Below are 21,458 nucleotides of genomic sequence, written 5' to 3' on the forward strand. Positions count from 1 at the left end.
TCTACTCTATATCTGAAAAGAAAAAAACTGAGGCTCTGTAAGGAAAGAACATTGGTTGTTGAAAGAGTAGTTGGGGTTGGGTATGGTGGTTCACGCCTGTAATCCCAGCACTTTGGGAGGCTGAGGTGGGTGGATCACTTGAGGTCAGGAGTTAGAGACCAGCCTGGCCAACATGGTGAAACCCTTTCTCTACTAAAAATACAAAAATTAGCCAGGCGTGGTGGCACACGCCTCTAGTCCCAGCTCCTTGGGGGGCTGAGGCAGGAGAATCACTTGAACCTGGCGGTATAGGTTGCAGTAAGCAGAGATCTTGCCACTGCACTCCAGCCTGGGTGACAGAGGGAGACACCATCTCAAAAAAAAAACGAATAGTTGGGTAGGCAACAAAGTGACTGCCACAGGGAATGCACACACACGCACATGATATACAATAGTGTATCCAACTATTTCCCCTAGGTGGTTTCTAGAAGGTACTTATGACACATAACCCAGATTTTACTAAGTTTAATGTTGAAAAAGCACCCCATAAAGTGTATATTGATCACACATCTGAATATCTCTAAACCATAAAATGGAGTTAACAGTACCTACACCTCACGGCTGTGCCAACTGAATGAGTTAATATGTGTGCTTAGAACAATGCCTGGCACATGGTAAGGGCTACATGAGAGTTAGCTGTTATTATTAATATCAAGCTGGCAGGTAACAAATATGTTGAATGAGAGTCAAGACACGCCCCCCCCAACATCAGTAGGTTCATATGACAGATATATCTAATAAGATGAAAATGTACACATTACATTTATTATGTAATAAGTAAGCTACTAAATTTGGACCCTAAAAGAACAATAGTCCAAATATAGGATGAGGAGATGTGACTTAAGAGCTATACATGTGTGAGGGCAGTGGCTAGTTTGTGACTCTGAACACTGGAAGAGATGGGTACTAATGAATCTTTTCAGCATGAACTCACTGCTGGAAATGGCTACTTACTGGAGGCCATGGGTAGAAGCCACTTCTACCACTTCTGGTAGACGCCAGAAGTGGAACAGTTCTATTCTCCATCTAGGAAGCTTTGCATCTAGAGTTTAAAGGTTTGAAGAAAAAAAGGGATAAGCAGAGTCCAAGGGAAATTACTACTTAATGGCTAGAAGAGGTATGTGTGAGCACGTCTATAAAACATCCCTAACTACCTGTAACACAGATTGCACACTGTTCCCTGCTAACGACTGGCTTAATACATCAATCAATAAGACTGGAAATCGTTGTTTTCTATGGACGCTGAATCTGAGCTTGTCGAAATGATTTTCCCAAAACACAGTCTACTTCAAGGATTTCCGCAGCACTAACTCCTTTTGGAATATCCCTTTGAGAACATAATTAGAAATATATATCACTTTCATGTAGTTTGGGGCAAGCAATTTCCTTACCTTCATCACATTATAAACGAAGTCCAAGACTGATTTTTCATTGTGTTTGAAATGGATTTTCTAGAATTATGTCTAATTGCCAGATATCATAGAGATTAATAACACTCAAAAGTCTTAAGGACAAGTAAGCTAAAACTGAGTTCCCAGAGAGTCTGATTCCTTTAAGACTGTGAAGACACTGTTTAGCCAGGTTGAGAAGCATCTTCCCATCATCCCCAACTCTCCGGGCTACAGTGAACAACCATTTATTTAACACTTCACATGTTCCAGACCCAGAGTGCTCAGAACCACAGTGAGCTACAAAAATGCAGAAGAAACATCCTTTCCCCCAGAAGCTTCCAACCCAGTTAACTATCTTCAAGTGATTAAAATAAGACAGCTGACTATTAAGTTAGAAATATTACATGCTATAGGGAAATAGAGCAGGAAAGGAATGAGAAGAAATTCCTTTTAACTGCAGGATCTGGGCAAGCCTTTAGTTCAGGCAGGATCTGAACAGAGTAGAGAGGCAGGTGGATGTGAAGAAGGCATCCCTTAGTGGAGGGATGAAAAATGGAGGGATGTATTCACCAACAACGAAGCGTCTGTGACTTCAGTGTGTGCGTGTGTGTGTGTGTGTGTGTGTGTGGCAGGTGGAGGCTGCTCAGAATAGTGCAGGGGGGAGGGAGAAAAACAGTAAGAGATGAGGAAATGTATTTAGCACCTATTACATGCCAGGAGTGTTGTACGTTATTTCAATCACACTTTATAACAATATTGAACAGTAATATTCCTTTTTTACAGATGAAGAAATTGGCCCAGAGAGATTCAGAAACTCCTCTAAGATCATTTAGCTAGTCAATGGACTAAATAGTCAATAAATATTCAAATCAGGTCTTTTTTCTTTGCCATACCATGTTTGCTTAAAGCCCAGCTAAGGATTCTGGACTACCCTACAGGCAATAGGTGGTGAAGGAGGGCAGAGGCAGTAGCATCAGCAGGTATCTCTGTTCACATAGGGCCCACCGTGTGTCCAGACTGGGCTGACTCTTTTCCCTCTGGAAATAAGAGGCAAATGAGACACCCATCCCTGCCCTCGAAGAACCTCGTGTGCTTTTGTGGGAAAATAAAAACATTAACGGACACATGTATTAAAATGTAAGGACACACGTATTATAATGTAAGTACAATGACAACAATTTGGGGAGAGTGCTATGGAAACACCCTTCCAAGGAAAGTGTCCTAGAGAGGTCATCCAGGCTGTCCTGGAAGAAGTATAAAGTTGAAGAAGGTGGGAAAGGATATTTTAGGCAGAGGAAAAGATCGCTCTGAAAACAAAGATAGGAACTGTCATGGTCCACACACCTCGAGGTAATAGGAAGGACGGGGAATAAGGCTGGAAGGCTTGGGAATGCCTTGCTGAGGAGCTGAAGCCCTGGGAAGCCCCTGAAGACTTTGATCAGGGCAGTGATACGGTTACATGCTAATGCTAGGAAAATCCAGGAGTGCCTTGGGGAAGGAAGACTGGAGGCAGTTAGAGCAGCTGGTCAGCAGAGGTGAGGGGAGAGAGCCAGAGCCCGTGTGAGGACAGCAGTCACAGGCATGGAGAAGAGTTGGGTTTGAGAGATACCTAGGAGGCAAACACATCAGGTTCTGGAGGCTCAGATTTTAAAAGCTTATCACTAATATACCAAATCTCTTAAAAAAAAAAAAAGAAGAAGAAGAAGAAGAAGAAAAAAAAAAGGTCTGGCTAGCAATGTGTCCTCATCTACCCTAAGAAACTAAGTGAACACTGGGTCCTGTCTATAAGCATTAGTCCTGAAGTCAGCAGTGCCTAAATGCAAAGAACAAACACAGATGCTAAGATGTGAGTGGGCAGGCCAGTTCACCTATGAACAAGGGTAAGAAGGAAACAGAACCAGTCCTGGAGAGTACAAACACTGTGCCCTCTTCCTTAATTTGCACACCTGATTCAAGTATTTTACTTACCCTTACAGATTTCTATAACTCCTGAAGACTGATATTTTTATTCGTTTTATTTATTTATTTTTGAGACAGGGTCTCATTCTGTCGCCCAGGCTGGAATGCAGGGGCGTGATTTTGGCTCACCACAACCTCTATCTCTCGGGTATGAGCGATTCTCCTGCCTCAGCCTCCCAAGTAGCTGGGACTACAGGCATGTGTCACCACGCCCAGCTAATTTTTTTGTATTTTTAGTAGAGACGGGGTTTCGCCATGTTGGCCAGACTTGTCTCAATCTTCTGGCCTCAAGTGATCCACCCACCTTGGCCTCCCAAAGAGCTGGGATTACAGGTGTGAGCCACTGCACCCGGCTTATTCCTGTTTTACAGCTGAAAAAATGACAAGTTGATTAGTTACAAGTTTTTCTGATAGTTACACAGGTGATAAATGGCAGAACCAGGACCTGAACCCAAATTTGTATGACTCCACGTTCTGTTCTTCCCATTTACCAGTTTTGCAGCTAAGAACCTTTCTAATTCCCTTGGCAGCTGGTCTACCTTCCAAGGCCCAGAACTCCAAAACAATTTCCACTATCAACCCCCAAGTTCAATGGGAACTTGGAAGAAATGGCTTATAAAAAACAAGTAAAAATTAAAAAGTAGGACCTAATCTTAATCAAGTGCCTAATGTTAATCAACAGCCATCCTCAGCAGCAGTTTCAGTGAACTAATTTGTTGATTTTCCAAGGCTAAATACAGCCCTTTTATACTGAGCGCTCTGAGTTTATTCAAAATATTTACAGATCTATCACCTGATTTATTTTATCTACTCCTGTTTCACACAGATATTAACACTAAAAAAAAAGCCAAACACTGGGATGGGCACTTCTTGTTGTGTTCAACTTTCAAGTCACAGTTGAAATGTCCCTTTCTCATGAAGGCCTTTACCTTGCGAGGCTAGGCTAGATTCTCTGTCCCCAAACTCTCACTTCTTTGTAGGACTTCTATAAATGAATATTAGGTATGGGCTGGGCGCGGTGGCTCATGCCTGTAATCCTAGCACTTTGGGAGGCCGAGGCAGGTTGATCACTTGAGGTCAGGAGTTCCAGACCGGCCTGGCCAACATGGTGAAACCCCATCTCTACTAAAAATACAAAAAAATTAGCCGAGTGTGGTGGCGTATGACTGTAGTTCCAGCTACTCAGCAGGCTGAGGCAGGAGAATCGCTTGAACCCGGGAGGCAGAGGTTGCAGTGAGCTGAGATTGTGCCACAGCACTCCAGCCTAGGCGACAGAGAGAGACTCTGTCTCAAAAGAAAAAGAAATTTTTTAGATATGTATTTTTGAACTATCTGTTCACAGCCGAAGTCCCTCTGGCCTGTAGACTCTGTGAAGCCAGGCTTGCTTGTCTTGTTCTTGTTCACAGCTATATCTATCCTTTGGGCCTTGCACTGCAAGTGCGAGGTAAATGGTGACTGAACAGCTGGTCTCACCTAACTCCCTGTGGGGCGTCACTCCTTTCTGACAAACAGAAAAAAATTCCTATCAGAAAGGTTACTGCCCAGTTTCACAGAGAGGACAAGTTAACTCCCAAATCACATAAGCTCTTCCCACTCCACCACGCTCACCTGCCTCACACACACAAATACCTGAATCGACTTCCTGTATTTTCCACACTGCAATAAATGTGCTTCTGTGAAAACCAGTGTGGCTATGAAAGTTATCGTGGATTGGCCGGGCACGGTGGCTCACGCCTGTAATTCCAGCACTTTGGGAGGCCGAGGCGGGTGGATCATGAGGTCAGGAGATCGAGACCACCCTGGCTAACACGGTGAAACCCCGTCTCTGCTAAAAATACAAAAAATTAGCCAAGTGCAGTGGCGGGCTCCTGTAGTCCCAGCTACTCGGAAGGCTGAGGCAGGAGAATGGCGTGAACCCGGGAGGTGGAGCTTGCTGTGAGCTGAGATCGCGCCACTGCACTCTAGCCTGGGCGACAGAGCAAAACTCTGTCTCAGAAAAAAAAAAAAAAAAAAAAAAAAGGACGTTACCATGGATTAAAGAATTTCTGGCCAGGCTCACGCCTGTAATCCCAGCACTCTAGGAGGCTGATACGAGCAGATCCCTCGAGCTCAGGAGTTCAAGACCAGCCTGGGCAATTTGGCAAAACCCTGTCTCTACAAAAAATAGCTGGGTGTGATGATGCATGCCTGTAGTCCAAACTACTTGGAGGGCTGAGGAGGGAGGATCTCTTGAGCTGGGGAGGTTGACGCTACAGTGAACTGAGATCCTGCCACTGCACTCCAGCCTGGGCAATGAGTGAGACCCTGTCTCAAAAAAAAAAAAAAAAATTCCATTCTGTTTAATTGTGCATTCCATATTTGTTGGGATGGGTGGGCAGTAGGAGCAACTTCAGTACAATTAAGTTGATTTAGCTTCTTCTTTGGAGGGACGTTATACTAGCAAAGCAGAGAAAAACAGAGGCTAATCTATTACTAAAGATTTCAACTTTCTTTATATTTATGGGCAATAATCAGGTTCAATCATTGTAATAAACCACTTGGCCTAAGAAAAAGAATTTAATTAAGGTCTTATAAAAGGACATAAAATACTACATAAAGGGTGCCAGCTTTATAGACGTGAGATTTCACCTATTAACATATAGTTAGGAGGCTGGGTGCGGTGGATGGTGCCTGTAATCCCAGCACTTTGGGAGGCCAAGGCCGGTGGATCACTTGACATCAGGAGTTCAAGACCAGCCTGGCCAACATGATGAAAGCCTGTCTCTACTAAAAATAAAAACGAAATAGCAGGGCGTGGTGGTGCGTGCCTGTAATCCCAGCTACTTGGGAGGCTGAGGCAGGAGAATTGCTTGAACCCGGGAGGCGGAGGTTGCAGTGAACCAAGATTGTGCCACTGTACTCCAGCCTGGGTGGCAGAGTGAGATTTCATCTCAAAAAAACAACAAAAAAACCCCATATAAACATATATAGTATATAGTTAGGGGTCGGGTACAATGGCTTATGCCTGTAATCCCAGCACTTTGGGAGGCCAAGGCAGGTGGATTGCTTGAGCTTAGGAGTTTGAGACCAGCCTGGGCAACATGGTGAAACCCCGTCTCTACTAAAAATAAGAAAATTATCAGGGCATGGTGGTATGCACCTATAATCCTAGCTACTCAGGAGGCTGAGTCAGGAGAATCACTTGAGCCCAGAAGACAGAGGTTGCAGCAAGCAGAGATCACACCACTGCATTCCAGCATGGGTGACACAGTGAGACCCTGTCTAAAAAAAAAAAAACAAACAAACACAGGGTATTTCACCATAATTTAAACTCCAAATCTAATATATGCATTGATTTGGTGGGAAAGTATCCCTTTAATAGCTCAGGTTTCAAAGACTCCACAACCAAGAAGGTATCTATAGTTTAGACAGTTAAGAACATGTACATACCTAGTTTTTCATTTAACTTGGATCCAAACTAGGGGTAACTAATTTGGATGCATGCACAAAAATTTTCATTCTGATTTTTGTAAACATTTCATTGAAAACTGGGCGTGGATGTGAATTGGAACAGGATCACACTACTGAAACTTACATAGGTTTTGCAGTCTCACAAAAGGCAGGAAAGTCAAGCTCTCGCTTTTCACCTCAATCACTACCTTTTTACCACACCGCCATGTGACGTTGAGCACATCTCCTAGGTAGTTTCCTTGTCTGCAAAATGAAATGTGGACTAGATGCCCCATCTGGCTCTAACAGTCTCAATACTGTAACTGATGCAGAGCACCTATTTCCTTCCTACTTGAAGGAACTGCAAAAGAACTAAACATTAGAACCACAAAGCAATTTCATGAGGCAGCCAAATTAGTTCTGATAAGGAAAATTATTTAGCATGAGTTCATGACTTGAATCAATCCCAATCTGTTAGAGATATAGCTGAATCAGATTTAATAGCCTCCCTGTAATCAATAAAGGAGAACACACTGTCTGGACTAGGCAAGGAAGGAGAGGTATCAGCATCTCTTAATAGCCTTTATTCTTCTGCTTACTCTCACTCCTCACCCTCCTTCCTTGAACCCAAGTTTGAGTATTTAATGAAAGTTTCAGAAAATGAATGAATGGGAAATGAGGGAGGTGAGGAGATGGCAAAGGAGTTGTCAGCTGACAGTCCACATCTTTGTCCTGCTGCTGTGCTGAGAAGGTAGTCAAAGGAATATTACTTGTAGAATATTTGTCACTGCATCTCCTCAGCCATTAGTGAGCTCTGATTTCTTGGAGATTCTAGAAAGCTCTGCACAACTGTTGTGATGTATCTAATATTATTTCTTCTATAGTTGCTGATGTTCAATTTTTTTTTTTTGAGATGGAGTTTTGCTCTTGTTCCCCAGGCTGGAGTGCAATGGCATGATCTCGGCTCACCGCAGTGAGAATCGCTTGAGCCCAGAAGACGGAGGTTGTAGTGACTAAGAAATGGTCAAGCAACATCACACAGAATTCCCCTCTGCCATGGTACTTTAAACTTCACGTTTTTGCATGAATCAAAAAGCAAGTGATCGCCAGGCGCGGTGGCTCACTCCTGTAATCCCAGCATTTTGGGAGGCCGAGGTGGGTGGATCATTTGAGGTCAGGAGTTCAAGACCAGCCTGGCCACCCATGGCAATACCCCATCTCTAATAAAAATACAAAAATTAGCCAGGTGTGGTGGTGCGGGCCTATGGTCCCAGCTACTCGGGAGACTGAGGCAGGAGAATCGCTTGAACCCGGGAGGCGGAGGTTGCAATGAGCCAAGATTGCGCCACCGCACTCCAGTCTGGGTGACAGAGCGAGGCTCCATCTCAAAAAAAAAAAAAAAAAAAAAAAAAGCAAGCTTCACGTACAAGGCATCACTTCATGCACAAGGCACTGAGCTGACAAAGCCATGGCCTTTGCTCAGATAGGGTTGAGAGACAATAATCAATTATTGCCAAAATAAAAGGACTCTAGGAATTCAGAGGGAATCCCAATGCATTTTGTACAAACAGAACAGAATAAAAGTAGGGAGGCTAGGTGCACTCCAGCACTTTGGGAGGCCAAGGCAGGAGACCAGACTGGGCAACAGAGCCCTTAAAACCTCATATCCAAAAAAAAAATTTTTTAATTAGCTGGGCATGTGGTGGGGCACCTGTAGTCCTTAGCTCTTTGGGAGGCTGAGATGGGAGGACTGCTTGAATCCAGAAGTTCAAGGCTGCAGTAAGCTATGATTGTGCCACTGCACTCTAGCCTGGGAGACAAAGCTAGACCCTGCCTCAGAAAAACAAAAACAAAAAAACCCACAGCAGTTAAATTTATCCTCACTTTTATTACTATTTTTTAGAGACAGAGTGTCACTCTGTCACCCAGCCTGGAGTGCAGTGGCGCGATCTCGGCTCGTTGCAACCTCCGCCTCCTGGTTTCCATTAACTCACCTGCCTCAGTCTCCTAAGTAGCTGGGTCTACAGGCGTGCACCACCACGCCCAGCTTATTTTTGTATTTTCAGTAGAGACGGGGTTTCACCATGTTGGCCAGGCTAGTCTGGAACTCCTGACCTCAGGTGATCCACCTACCTCAGCCTCCCAAAGTGCTGGGATTATGGGTGTGAGCCACCACGCCCAGCCTATCCTCACTTTTAGAATCCCATGATTCTGAAACTGCAATTTGACCTGTCCTTTTAAAATAATTTTTACCTTTAGCAAGTGCAAGCAAGCGAGAGCCACACGACACATTATCTTTGCATGTCTAGTCATAAGATACTCCACCGTTAAACAGTAGAAAACAAGAATATCTCCCACTAGAAAAACTTAAGGCCTAACAGGTCACCTCCTATGGGGCAAGTTTAAAAAGCTATTTTCTGGAGCAGGTACTAGGATGGCCTTCAGGAGCATTTTAGTGCTTTCTGACCTACTACCTTTCCTCAAAGCTTTCAATCCTTTTGGGCTTTCTCCACTTGAATGTGAACACCTACAGATCTACAGCTCAGAAACCAGGATGCTTAATGGGTAATTCCCTCATTTCTCTTGCTCTCACAATTGGTGTTTATGGGGAAGTATCAACTACTTGCAGTGCCATTTCCCCATCAATTACTAGAGAGTGGGGAAAGTGAAATTTAAAAAGCATTAAGACATGTAAAAGTTCTCCCACAACTGGTTTCCATTCATGAAATATTTATGCAGAGTTTATAAGCTATAAAGCCAGAGATGACTTAATTCAACAGATTTGACTTTTCCAAACTGAGTGGGTGCAGTACTCCAAGGGGAATTATTCAGGTTTCAAAGCTCAGATTCAAAGAGAAAACGATCTAATTTGTCACTCCTTACACTAATATTCTCAAAAGTCAAGTCCAATGCGATTTAGCAATAAGAAGGGACTAGGATTTATAAAGTTGCCTTTTAATGAGAATGTATAGTCTACTTGTTTTAACAAGTTGAGCCTAAGATTAATGTATTGCGTACAGTTCAGAAAATCATGGGCCTCAACTGCATGAACACTATTACAAAACAGTAAATGTTGATAATATTTAAGTTGAACAAATTCACAGAGGCGTTAAATCGGCCAAACGAGTACAACAAAGACACACCTTTCCAACTCTTCAATTTGTCATAGTTTCCTTAAAAATCAGGAAATCTTTGTTTTGCTTTAAGGCAAATTGTCAGGTCGACCAAAAGGACAGATAAGAGCAGAAACACTTCGCTGCAATGTAACTCATTCAGGAAGGTTTAACTTGCCGCTAATCCGTGCCACAAAAAAAAATCTAGGCTCTGTTGCAGGTACAATGGAGGACACGGCTGAAAAAATTTGGAATTTTAAATGAGACAAATGCAAAACCTGGTGGGCGTAAAAAGGAGCACCTATGAAAGTGACAAATAGGGGGAAAGGGTGGGCAAGGGAAACAATGGCTGACTGGAGAGCAAAGAAGGGGAAGCTCAGGAGAAAATTTTAGAAAGCCGCCAGGACCCTGTAGTTCTAAGATCTACGGGGAAACAGGCACCCAACGGCTGCGTCTCAGGTTTCCGCGGGTCACTAAAGAATAACGGACATCCTCCCAACGGTGGCCCTGGGGCTCCGCGGGCGCTTCCGCCGAGCTCGCGCCGACCCCGCGCTCGGCCCCGCACCCCGCCGGGCGCTCGCGGCGAGATACCGGACGCTGCCCGCGTCGCCCGATTTTGTCCGTTCGGTCCTCCACACTCACCCCGCGGCCATCGCTCGCCCGAAGCCAGGCGACAAGAACAAACACCTCCCGACGCGAAAAAGGAAGCACAGGCGATTCTCGTCAAAGCAGACTTTATTGGGGCGACAGGGCCGCCCCGCACGCGCCAGCCGCTCCCCGCGCGGCCCCCGGGCCGCCCACCCGCCTCAACCCCGCTCCCGGCCGGCCCCTCCCTCCCTTCTCCTCAGGCTCCCGCCCCCGTGGTGCCCGGGGCCGCGCGGACCGCTCACCGGCTCCCAAGGCAGCGGCTGTAGCGGCGACGCCCCGTTCCCGAGTGCGGCCCCGGCCCGAGGCGGCGGGTTTTGTGGCTGTTGCACCGCGAAGGGCGGCAGCCGCGCGACACCGGGAAGCGGGAGGCGGTGGCGGCGGCGGCGGCGCGCTGACGTCACGCGCCGCGGGCCAGCCAGGGCGCGTGCGAGCCGCCCCGCCCCCGGTCCCATCGGCCCCAATCCGGGAGGAGCCCGGCGAGTGGGCGGGGCCGCGGAGGCCAGCGGACAGATCGATTGGCCGAGAGGAGAATCGAGAGGGCGAACGGGCGAGTGGCAGCGAGGCGGGGCGGGCTGAGGCCAGCGCGGAAGTCTCGCGAGGCCGGGCCCGAGCAGAGTGTGGCGGCGGCGGCGAGATCTGGGCTCGGGTTGAGGAGTTGGTATTTGTGTGGAAGGAGGCGGAGGCGCAGGAGGAAGGGGGAAGCGGAGCGCCGGCCCGGAGGGCGGGAGGAGGCGCGGCCAGGGCGGGCGGTTGCGGCGAGGCGAGGCGAGGCGGGGAGCCGAGACGAGCAGCGGCCGAGCGAGCGCGGGCGCGGGCGCACCGAGGCGAGGGAGGCGGGGAAGCCCCGCCGCCGCCGCGGCGCCCGCCCCTTCCCCCGCCGCCCGCCCCCTCTCCCCCCGCCCGCTCGCCGCCTTCCTCCCTCTGCCTTCCTTCCCCACGGCCGGCCGCCTCCTCGCCCGCCCGCCCGCAGCCGAGGAGCCGAGGCCGCCGCGGCCGTGGCGGCGGAGCCCTCAGCCATGGCCTCGGGCGACACCCTCTACATCGCCACGGACGGCTCGGAGATGCCGGCCGAGATCGTGGAGCTGCACGAGATCGAGGTGGAGACCATCCCGGTGGAGACCATCGAGACCACAGTGGTGGGCGAGGAGGAGGAGGAGGACGACGACGACGAGGACGGCGGCGGTGGCGACCACGGCGGCGGGGGCGGCCACGGGCACGCCGGCCACCACCACCACCACCATCACCACCACCACCACCCGCCCATGATCGCTCTGCAGCCGCTGGTCACCGACGACCCGACCCAGGTGCACCACCACCAGGAGGTGATCCTGGTGCAGACGCGCGAGGAGGTGGTGGGCGGCGACGACTCGGACGGGCTGCGCGCCGAGGACGGCTTCGAGGATCAGATTCTCATCCCGGTGCCCGCGCCGGCCGGCGGCGACGACGACTACATTGAACAAACGCTGGTCACCGTGGCGGCGGCCGGCAAGAGCGGCGGCGGCGGCTCGTCGTCGTCGGGAGGCGGCCGCGTCAAGAAGGGCGGCGGCAAGAAGAGCGGCAAGAAGAGTTACCTCAGCGGCGGGGCCGGCGCGGCGGGCGGCGGCGGCGCCGACCCGGGCAACAAGAAGTGGGAGCAGAAGCAGGTGCAGATCAAGACCCTGGAGGGCGAGTTCTCGGTCACCATGTGGTCCTCAGGTGAGCGCCGGCCGCGCGCCCCGGCCCCGGGATGTTTTTGTTTTGAAGGGAAGCCATGTTTTATGTGTGTGATGGGCGCCGCCATCTTCTTCGCCAGGGCAAGTATGGCGGCCCCAAAAGATGGCGGGCCGTGCGGCGGCGGGGGCGCGGCGGCGGCGGCGGGCGGCGGGCCGCGAAGATGGCGGCAGGCCGCGGGGGGGAGGGGCCGGCGCCGCCCGGCTAGGCCGCAATGGCGTAGTTTCTCCGAGAGGGGGAAGCGCCGCGCGGGGCGGAGACGGCCGGGGGAGGGGCCGGCGCGCTCGCTCCCCGACGCCCTCGCTCCCCGCGCCCGCATCAACGGGCGCGCCCGCCGGCCCGTTGTGGCGGCAGCTGCGCGCCCCCGGCCCGGGCGGGACGCGGGAGGTCGTTGGCGGGGCTGCGCCGCGGCCTCGCGGGCCAGGGATTGCTGCCTCCGGGACGCGCGCCCCCGCCCCCGCCCGGCGCTGCCGTTACCCCATCGGCCGCTGGAGGGCGCCGCGGGCGCTTGCCCCGCCCGCCCCCAACTTCCCCGGACTCCCAACTGCTCCCCGGTGGCACCTTCCAGAAGGAGGGGGCTTGGCACTCGTGGGCGCCCTCCGGCCTCCTTGCTCCCCGCCCACCCAGCGCCGGGCTGGACCCTGCCCCGGCGGTCACGCTCGCCCAAGTCGTCGTTTGCTGCGGGGCGGGACTTGGGGCTGCACGTAGGGCTCGCGTGTGCGGGCTCCGAGCGTCAGTCGGAGCCTGTCACCGCCGTTGCCAGCGAATTCCTGGCCTTTTCGCCTTCCTGCGGTACCTAGTGGAAAGGGCCTGTGAATGTTAGCGAATAATTCTTAGTCACTTACGTTTTGGGAAAGCTTTTTTTTTTTCCCTCAAGTATTTAGCTCTTCTGAATAGGTTGGGTTAGTTTACTCAACTGTGGACATTTGCCAGTAAATAAAATCGGGTAGTTTAATTTTAAGCCTTTATGGTTTTTACTTTGTAGAAAGGTATCTATTTTCCCCATGAAAAGAACGATAATAGAAAGCGGGTTTTTTTGAGTTTTGTTTTACTGTTTTAATACTACTTTTAACGAAGGCCTGAAAACCATCTAGAGCAAAAGGATCTTATCTGCCTGTGTAAAATCTGTTTTTACTTCAAAGGCAATTATTAATTCAATGCTGGTTTTTTAGGTCAGTATCCTATTAGTATATTCATATGCTACCTAGCTAAATTGCTGAGATACTAAATAGACTGAGAATAATCCTGCCATCGTAGTTAATCTAATGCCTGTGATGATTACGTTTAGTACTCCATATAAGCGGTGGAACCTCTTCCCTATAAGTACTTTAAAGCTTCATAAATTCTCAGAACTGAATGGAGACTCAAAATATGGTGACCTTTGAGTATTAAAAGATCGTTAAAATTCGGAGGAATGAATGAAACAGAAATGAAAAGGCTGGACTGAAAAAGCTAGTTTGTATCTGGTGAAAGCCTCAAGATGAGACAACTACAGCTGGGTGGATCTGTGATTGAAAGAGGCCTGAGCAAAGGGATCTAGGAGCTGTCAAAATCTAATAGGAAGGTGCTAACAGGCGCTGTCCTGCATCCAGGGTGCCTTGTAGAATTCATAGCAGTTTGAGTTTAGCAGAAACTATGTTTAAATGAAACATGAATACTTTAGTACTTAATGGTTATCAAAAGATAATTTCCATGTATTTTGGTAGCTCAAGAGATTACATACTGATCATGTTGGAACTAAAAGTCATGGTTTTGGCCGGGCGCGGTGGCTCACGCCTGTAATCCCAGCAGTTTGGGAGGCTGAGGCCGGTGGATCACTTGAAGTCTGGAGTTCGAGACCAGCTGGCCATCATAGTGAAACCCCATCTCTACTAAAAATATAAAAATTAGCCAGGCGTGATGGCGGGAGCCCGTAATCCCAGCTACTCGGGAGGCTGAGGCAGGAGAATCGCTTGAACCCAGGAGGCAGAGGTTAACAGTGAGCCGAGATTGCACCACTACACTCCAGCCTGGGTGACAGAGCGAGACTCTGTCTCAAAAGGGGGGGGGGGGCATTTTTTTTTGTTAATACCAATGAGTAAGGGATGGGGGTTTTAGTTATTGATGAATTTGCAGAATTCAGAATACGATTTGAAATAAGATATTTAGGTAAAGATACATTAACCACAAAAGTAAATTTACTTTTTCTCATAGTGTGTGGAATTAGAGGAATTTAGAAAACCGACATATTTTTACATGATCTGCATTTTATCTTAACAAATTGCTGGTCCACTTTTCCACATCCAGAGAAGCTGGTAGTGTACGGCTTTGCTTGCTGAAGTGGTATGTATGGAGTCAGCCAGTTAGGGGAGAAAGTCTGAGGGGCTTGACTGATGGAAGTCAATTTACAATTAAGTGAGCATTTACAAGTGTGCAAGTGGCTGTTTTGTTTTGTTTTTTGTTTTTTTTTTTTTTTTTTTTTTTTTTTTGAGATGGAGTCTCGCTCTGTCGCCCAGGCTGGTGTGCAGTGGCATGATCTCGGCTCACGGCAAGCTCCGCCTCCCGAGTTTACGCCATTCTCCTGCCTCACCCTCCCGAGTAGCTGGGACTACAGGCGCCCACCACCACGCCCGGCTAATTTTTTGTGTTTTTAGTAGAGACAGGGTTTCACCATGTTAGCCAGGATGGTCTTGATCTCCTAACCTCGTGATCCGCCTGCCTCGGCCTCCCAAAGTGCTGGGATTACAGGTGTGAGCCACCGCGCCCAGCCAAGTGGCTGCTTTTAAGGTGGCACAGTTTGGGGTTGTTTTCACGTCCGTTTCTTTTCTTCTCTTTTCTTTTTTTAATTTGAGACAGAGTCTTGCTCTGTTGCCCAGGCTGGAGTGCAGTGTCACGATCTTGGCTCACTGCAACCTTCACCTCCCGGATTCAAGGGATTCTCATGTCTCAGCCTCCCAAGTAGCTGGGATTGCAGGCATCCACCACCACCCCTGGCTATAATGTCCATTTCTTTAAAGCGCTGGTTGTCTAGCTAGTGTGGTAGAGTACGCTGTGCATAAGGGTAGTTATAAATATTTGATGGCAGTAACATAGGATGGCCTGTTTCTCGGACATGTGTTTTGTGGTAAACTATCCCCCTTACTTTTCCTTGTGATTTGGAATTATTACTAAAGAGAAGCTAAAGAGCTTATGGATAACTCTGCATTTCCCAAGCTGAAATTCTGAAGGTGATTTCATCTTCAGAACTGAAATGACGTGATATACTCAGTATAATTCCATAACAAGTGGAGAAATGAAAGTGGGTTAATTGTTGGGTAAATCTGTATGTATGTGTACATATGGGTTGAGCATGGTGGGCAGCATTACTGCTTTCGTGTACTTGATCTCATTTGATCCTAGGCATGAAGGTTTTAACTACACTTTAGTTTCACTAAAATAGCCCCTTAGTTTGGAATGAACTGTGAAGTAACAGTTTTGCATAAGCCCCAAGCTGAGTTACTTGAAGTCCTTATAAAAATAGTTGTACATACAGGGTATTCCCCGAGGGTCTAGTTACTTCTTAGACCCTCTTGGTTTAAAAAGCAAAAAGATCAGGCTGGGTGCAGTGGCTCACACCTGTAGTCCCAGAACTTTGGGAGGCCAAGGCAGGAGGATCGCTTAAGCCCAGGAGTTCGAGATGAACCTTGGCAATATAGTGAGACCCCGTCTCTGCAAAAAAACAAAAAACCCCACAAAAATTAGCCAGTCATGGTAGCACATGCCTGTAGTCACTCTCAGCTACTTGGTAGATTGAGGTGGGAGGATCTCCTGAGCCTGGGAAATCGAGGCTGCAAGTCAGCGGTGATTACACCACTGTACTCCAGCCTAGGTGACAGTGAGACACTGTCAAAAAAAAAAAAAAAAATTGGCCGGGCGCGGTGGCTGACGCCTGTAATCCCAGCACTTTGGGAGGCCGAGGCGGGTGGGTCACGAGCTCAGGAGATCGAGACCATCCTGCCTAACACGGTAAAACCCTGTCTCTACTAAAAATACAAAAAGAAATTAGCCGGGCGCTGTGGCGGGTGCCTGTAGTGCCAGCTACTCAGGAGGCTGAGGCAGGAGAATGGCGTGAACACGGGAGGCGGAGCTTGCCGTGAGCCGAGATAGCGCCACTGCACTCCAGCCTGGGCGACAGAGCAAGACTCCGTCTCCAAAAAAAAAAAAAAAATTAGTGGGAGTCATCATATTTCTGGAAACCAAATGGGTTTCTTTTGCGCACATGCCATGTTCCTTTAATTTCCCACAGTAAGAGCACTCTGGTGGGCATCTTTTGAATGTAATATCAGTATAGGAATCTAATAGTTTTTTAGTAGTTTTAGGCCTTATAGGATCCTTAGAGATTGGCTTTTTTTTTCCTTTTTTACTTTTTTTTTTTTTTTTTTTTTTTGAGACAGGGGTCTCACTCTGGCACCCAGGTTTGAGTGCAGTGTGAGATCTCGGCTCACTGCAACCTCCACCTTCCGAGTAGCACGTGCCACCATGCCTGGCTAATTTTGTTGTATTTTTGGTAGAGACGAAGTTTCGCCATGTTGCCCAGGCTTGTCTTGAACTCCTGATCTCAGGTGATTCACCCACCTCGGCCTCCCAAAGTGTTGGGATTACCAACCTGCCCGCCCCACTCCCCACCCCTTACTTTTTTTTTTTGAGGCAGGGTCTCATTCTGTCACCCAGGCTAGAGTGCAGTGAGACAGTCACGGCTCACGGCAGCCTCAACCTCCCGGGCTGAAGCGATCCTCCCACCTCAGCCTTCCAAGCAGCTGGGACCACAGGCTAATGTTTTAATTTTTTAGGCATGGGGTCTCCTTATGTTGCCCAGGCTGGTGTCAAACTCCTGGGCTCCAGCAATCCTTCCTCAGCCTTCCAGAGTGATGGGATTATGGGTGTGAGCCACTGTGCCTGACCTCTTTATTTTTTCCTAAATTTTTAATTGTCATACACATGTTTAGTTTCTTCTGTATTTATTTTTATTTATTTATTTTTTATTTCTTATTTTTTTTTGAGACAGAATCTCGCTCTGTCACCCAGGCTAGAGTGCAGTGGCACGATCTCGGCTCACTGCAAGCTCCACCTCCCGGGTTCACACCATTCTCCTGCCTCAGCCTCCAGAGTAGCTGGAACTACAGGCGCCCGCTGCCACACCCGGCTAATTTTTTGTATTTTTAGTAGAGATGGGGTTTCACCATGTTAGCCAGGATGGTCTCGATCTCCTGACCTCGTGATCCGCCTGCCTCGGCCTCCCAAAGTGCTGGGATTACAGGCGTGAGCCACTGCGCCTGTCCTGTTTCTTCTGTATTTAACCTGAATATACTTAACTGTTTAGTGTGTCAGAGAACTCTGTGCATCTGGAGTTTTTTAGTTGTTGCTTTTTAAATTAGAGATGGGGTCTTGCCTTGTTGCCTAGGCTGGCCTTGAATTCCTGGGTTCAGAGTATCTTCCTGCCTCAAATTCCTGAGTAACTGGGACTACAGACACCCAGCTTCAACTATGTTTTGAATAATCTTAATCAATTGCTTTAATGCCAGTGTTTACTTTGGCCTTTTTCACTATATATGATTAATAAACATTTCAGTGTTGATAGATTGGGGCACAGTACTATATATTTTTTCCCTAGATACTAATGCTGTTACATAGGAGTAACAGTTGTTGTGGGGTTTTTTGGGTTTTTTTTGAAACGGAGTCTCGCTTTGTTGCCCAGGCTGGAGTGCAGTGGCGCGATCTCGGCTCACTGCAAGCTCCACCTCCCGGGTTCACGACATTCTCCTGCCTCAGCCTCCCGAGTAACTGGGATTACAGACGTGTGCCACCATGCCCGGCTAATTTTTGTATTTTTAATAGAGTCTGGGTTTCTCCATGTTGGCCAGGCTGGTCTCAAACTCCTGACTTCAGGTGATCCACCCACCCCAGCCTCCCAAAGTGCTGGGATTACAGACGTGAGCCACCGCGCCCAGCCAGGAGTAACTGTTTTATAACTTAGTTAATTATAAACTAAGCCACTTAACCATTGCATTTAATAGGGAAGATAATGATAAAAACTGAGAATTTAAAACATTTAGTTCAGAGAGAAATTTAGGTGATTTTAAAATCTTGAGATTTCAGGTGGTGACAAACTGTGACCCTCTCTAAGGCTGTTGATATTTTAATTCGGAGCAGAAGTTGCATTGCCATGTGCATAAACTGCCGCATAGATGCCTGGAACCCTGGAAACAAGCCAGCATGTCCATGGTCACCCCCACCCCGTTTCCATTTCCATACATGGGTTTTGTGAGGTGAGGCCATCATGTGCATACTGCCTGCCCATGGCTAATGAGGATAGCACAGGTGCGGGGCCAGTGTCCCCCCCATTCTGTCCCGTGCCAGTCAGCACAGCTTGGGTTGTGGGGGACATGTGCCTTCTCAAAGTGCTGGCAGCTGAGTGGCACCTCCTTCACGCCTAGGAGTCGATGGTCCCTCCCCTGGTGTGCCCAGGTTGGCCTCATGCTCCGGGTAGAGAACCCTTGTTTGGACCTTGTGGGGATGTGGGGTGGTGAGACCCCACCTGAGCTGTGACCTTCTGAGAGGAGACAAATTAAACTGCTGAAGGAGAGGCAAAAATAATAATCATTATTCTGTTACACTGAATAGAGAAGCGGCTTGTGCTGGATTAAGCAAAACCTGTAAGACCAGAAAACCATTGATACAAAATCAGTAAATGCAAGGAAGTTGAAATGCATTGAATTTTTCCCAATTTTATAAGTTCAGAAGATGCAGGTTTGCCAAAAATCACTAGTCATGACCGTTTGCCATTCCTCTGTGGGTTTTTCACACCCTCCCTCCCCAGTAGAAACTGCGCTGTTTATCACTAAGATGCTATAAACATGAATTTCCATGGAGCCAAGCTCAAAAAGCCCTCCAAAGTAATCACTTCACCCCCATGACCTACATAGGGTAGCCTAAGTCATAGATCTCGAATCCTGATCTGGTAGCTCTGAAAGGTTTAGCTTCCTAATAAAGCCTCTTGTGCTGTCAGACTCTCCCCTCCAGGTTATTAACCTTGCCTTTTCCCTCCCACTATCAACAACTGACTCCCCCTAGTGGGAAAAGAAAAATCCGTATCAGGAAAAGGTCAGGGTTCCTGTCCTATCTACAGTTAGTATTTTATAGGCTTTTGGAAGAGGGTAAATTTTTTAAAACATCCATGTTGGACTCCTAGGTGGATATTTACAAAAGGCATTTCTATTTTGTTTTTGAAACCTGCTTAACAAGGTCAGTCTGTTTTAAGGCTGGGAAACTTAGGTTATATTAGCAAAGCAGTTATTGCAATGAATGTTACTTAGTATTTGCATTCTTTTATTTAACTCTTGATCTGCTCAGGTGACCATTTTTATTCTCTCTGTGCTCTTACTACTTCCAATAGGAAGAGTAAGCAAAAATGAATTTTTCTTTTTTTCTTTTTTTTTTTTTTTCGAGACAGGGTCTCACTTTGTCACCCAGTCGGGAGTACAGTGGCACAATCTCAGCTCATTGCAGCCTCGACCTCCTGGGCTCAAGCAGTCCTCCTGCCTCAGTGCCCCAAGAGCTGGGACTACAGGCACGCACCACCAGGCATGGCTAATTTTTTGTAGAGACAGGGTTATCAGAATCATGACTTGGATGCAGAAGATAACATTCATGTAATTACTGCAGAGTATTAGGAAGAGCCAAGGGAGATGTTAGAAGTTAGCTGATTGTTGGGGGGCTTGCACCTTTTCATGTGTGATGGACTTTCATAACAGCACGTAAGGGGAGCCAAGCCATTTCCTCGTTCTAAGTATCTTCTCAGTAGGTTCCATTCTGTTTAACTTCATGAATAATTATCAAGAACAGAAAGCCAGCAGCATCATATTTCCTCTCTAGAGGGGACTGACCTTGAGATCTTTCTAAAATGAGTTGGGGTAGCGGTATCCTTAAAGTCACTTTGAATCTTTATAGCAGGAAATTCTATTCCTTTACAAACAGAACAATATACTCAATTTCTTTCTTTCTTTCTTTTTTACAGAGTCTTACTCTGTTGCCCAGGCTGGAGTGCAGTGGTTTGATCTGGCTCACTGCAACCTCTGCCTCCCGAGTTCAAACAATTTTCCTGCCTCAGCCTCCTGAGTAGCTGGGATTACAGGTGTGCACCACCACGCCCGGCTAATTTTTTTTTCTTTTTTTTTTTTTTGAGACAGTCTCGCTCTGTCACCCAGGCTGGAGTGCAGTGGCGCGATCTCGGCTCACTGCAAGCTCCGCTTCCCGGGTTCATACCATTCTCCTGCCTCAGCCTCCCAGGTAGCTGGGACTACAGGCGCCCACCACCACGCCTGGCTAATTTTTTTTCTTTGTATTTTTTAGTAGAGATGGGGTTTCACCGTATTAACCAGGATGGTCTCAATCTCCTGACCTCGTGATCCGCCCGCCTTGGCCTCCCAAAGTGCTGGGATTATAGGCATGAGCTACTGTACCCAGCCTACTCAATTTCTTAAAGCAAGAGTCTTCCATTTTAACATGACCTGGCAAATGAGATATTAGGAACTCTTGAGAAAAAAAAATTTTTTTGAGACGGGTTTTTGCTATGTTGTTGAAACTGGAGTGCACTGGCTATTCACAGGTGTGATCATTGTGCGCTACAGCCTTGAACTCCTGGGCTCAAGCGGTTCTCTGGCCTTAGCCTCCCTAGTAGCTGGGACTAGAGGTGTGTGCCATTCCACCCAGCTTGAGTAAAATTCTTTTTTTTTTTTTTTTTTTTTTTATTGAAACGGTGTCTCGCTCTGTCACCCAGGCTGGAGTGCACTGGCGCGATCTCGGCTCACTGCAAGCTCTGCCTCCCGGGTTCACACCATTCTCCTTCCTCAGCCTCCCGAGTAGCTGGGACTACAGGCGCCCACCACCATACCTGGCTAATTTTTTTGTATTTTTGGTAGAGACGGGTTTCACCGTGTTAGCCAGGATGGTCTTGATCTCCTGACCTCATGATCGGCCCGCCTTGGTCTCCCAAAGTGCTAGGATTACAGGCGTTAGCCATCACGCCCAGCCAAGTAAAATTCTTAATAGCCATTCAGTTACTTTGGTTTTACACAGTGGTTTCAAATGTGGTTTAGCATTAAAACAATATAAATGGTTGTTTGTGATGGACTCTTTCTCGTGTAATTTTTTT

The 21,458-nt window shown here is 47.9% G+C and overlaps 1 protein-coding gene and 1 long non-coding RNA gene across 2 annotated transcripts in view, besides 10 other annotated features; one reads left to right on the top strand and one right to left on the bottom strand.

Annotated features, from left to right (window-relative positions):
- Positions 1-10,972, bottom strand: part of YY1-DT (YY1 divergent transcript) — a 31,542-nt gene extending 20,570 nt beyond the window's left edge. Inside the window, exon 1 of the long non-coding RNA NR_189150.1 lies at positions 10,822-10,972. This is a non-coding gene — a long non-coding RNA (YY1 divergent transcript). The remainder of the gene's footprint in view (positions 1-10,821) is intronic.
- Positions 4,676-5,176: an enhancer, noted in NCBI's record as "H3K4me1 hESC enhancer chr14:100698662-100699162 (GRCh37/hg19 assembly coordinates)". NCBI's record gives its function as "activates a minimal SCP1, AML or CMV promoter by ChIP-STARR-seq in naive H9 embryonic stem cells {active_cell/tissue: H9 hESC(naive)}" and the evidence as "EXISTENCE:reporter gene assay evidence [ECO:0000049][PMID:30033119]".
- Positions 5,177-5,677: an enhancer, noted in NCBI's record as "H3K4me1 hESC enhancer chr14:100699163-100699663 (GRCh37/hg19 assembly coordinates)". NCBI's record gives its function as "activates a minimal SCP1, AML or CMV promoter by ChIP-STARR-seq in naive H9 embryonic stem cells {active_cell/tissue: H9 hESC(naive)}" and the evidence as "EXISTENCE:reporter gene assay evidence [ECO:0000049][PMID:30033119]".
- Positions 10,557-11,409: an enhancer, noted in NCBI's record as "H3K27ac hESC enhancer chr14:100704543-100705395 (GRCh37/hg19 assembly coordinates)". NCBI's record gives its function as "activates a minimal SCP1, AML or CMV promoter by ChIP-STARR-seq in primed H9 embryonic stem cells {active_cell/tissue: H9 hESC(primed)}" and the evidence as "EXISTENCE:reporter gene assay evidence [ECO:0000049][PMID:30033119]".
- Positions 10,647-11,246: a silencer, noted in NCBI's record as "silent region_6079". NCBI's record gives its function as "represses an Ori minimal core promoter by ATAC-STARR-seq in GM12878 lymphoblastoid cells {active_cell/tissue: GM12878}" and the evidence as "EXISTENCE:reporter gene assay evidence [ECO:0000049][PMID:35858748]".
- Positions 11,307-11,386: a silencer, noted in NCBI's record as "silent region_6080". NCBI's record gives its function as "represses an Ori minimal core promoter by ATAC-STARR-seq in GM12878 lymphoblastoid cells {active_cell/tissue: GM12878}" and the evidence as "EXISTENCE:reporter gene assay evidence [ECO:0000049][PMID:35858748]".
- Positions 11,495-21,458, top strand: part of YY1 (YY1 transcription factor) — a 43,645-nt gene continuing 33,681 nt past the window's right edge. The window contains exon 1 of the mRNA NM_003403.5: positions 11,495-12,274. Coding sequence (NP_003394.1) covers positions 11,596-12,274 — 679 coding nt within the window. The 5' untranslated portion in view covers positions 11,495-11,595. The remainder of the gene's footprint in view (positions 12,275-21,458) is intronic.
- Positions 11,537-11,606: a silencer, noted in NCBI's record as "silent region_6081". NCBI's record gives its function as "represses an Ori minimal core promoter by ATAC-STARR-seq in GM12878 lymphoblastoid cells {active_cell/tissue: GM12878}" and the evidence as "EXISTENCE:reporter gene assay evidence [ECO:0000049][PMID:35858748]".
- Positions 12,097-12,146: a silencer, noted in NCBI's record as "silent region_6082". NCBI's record gives its function as "represses an Ori minimal core promoter by ATAC-STARR-seq in GM12878 lymphoblastoid cells {active_cell/tissue: GM12878}" and the evidence as "EXISTENCE:reporter gene assay evidence [ECO:0000049][PMID:35858748]".
- Positions 12,247-12,406: an enhancer, noted in NCBI's record as "active region_9030". NCBI's record gives its function as "activates an Ori minimal core promoter by ATAC-STARR-seq in GM12878 lymphoblastoid cells {active_cell/tissue: GM12878}" and the evidence as "EXISTENCE:reporter gene assay evidence [ECO:0000049][PMID:35858748]".
- Positions 12,417-13,096: a silencer, noted in NCBI's record as "silent region_6083". NCBI's record gives its function as "represses an Ori minimal core promoter by ATAC-STARR-seq in GM12878 lymphoblastoid cells {active_cell/tissue: GM12878}" and the evidence as "EXISTENCE:reporter gene assay evidence [ECO:0000049][PMID:35858748]".
- Positions 17,942-18,150: a silencer, noted in NCBI's record as "fragment chr14:100711928-100712136 (GRCh37/hg19 assembly coordinates)". NCBI's record gives its function as "represses an EF-1alpha promoter that drives an FKBP-Casp9 reporter gene in an ReSE screen in K562 erythroleukemia cells {active_cell/tissue: K562}" and the evidence as "EXISTENCE:reporter gene assay evidence [ECO:0000049][PMID:32094911]".

The sequence above is a fragment of the Homo sapiens genome, chromosome 14 (assembly GCF_000001405.40).
Source record: "Homo sapiens chromosome 14, GRCh38.p14 Primary Assembly".
Classification (NCBI taxonomy): domain Eukaryota; kingdom Metazoa; phylum Chordata; class Mammalia; order Primates; family Hominidae; genus Homo; species Homo sapiens.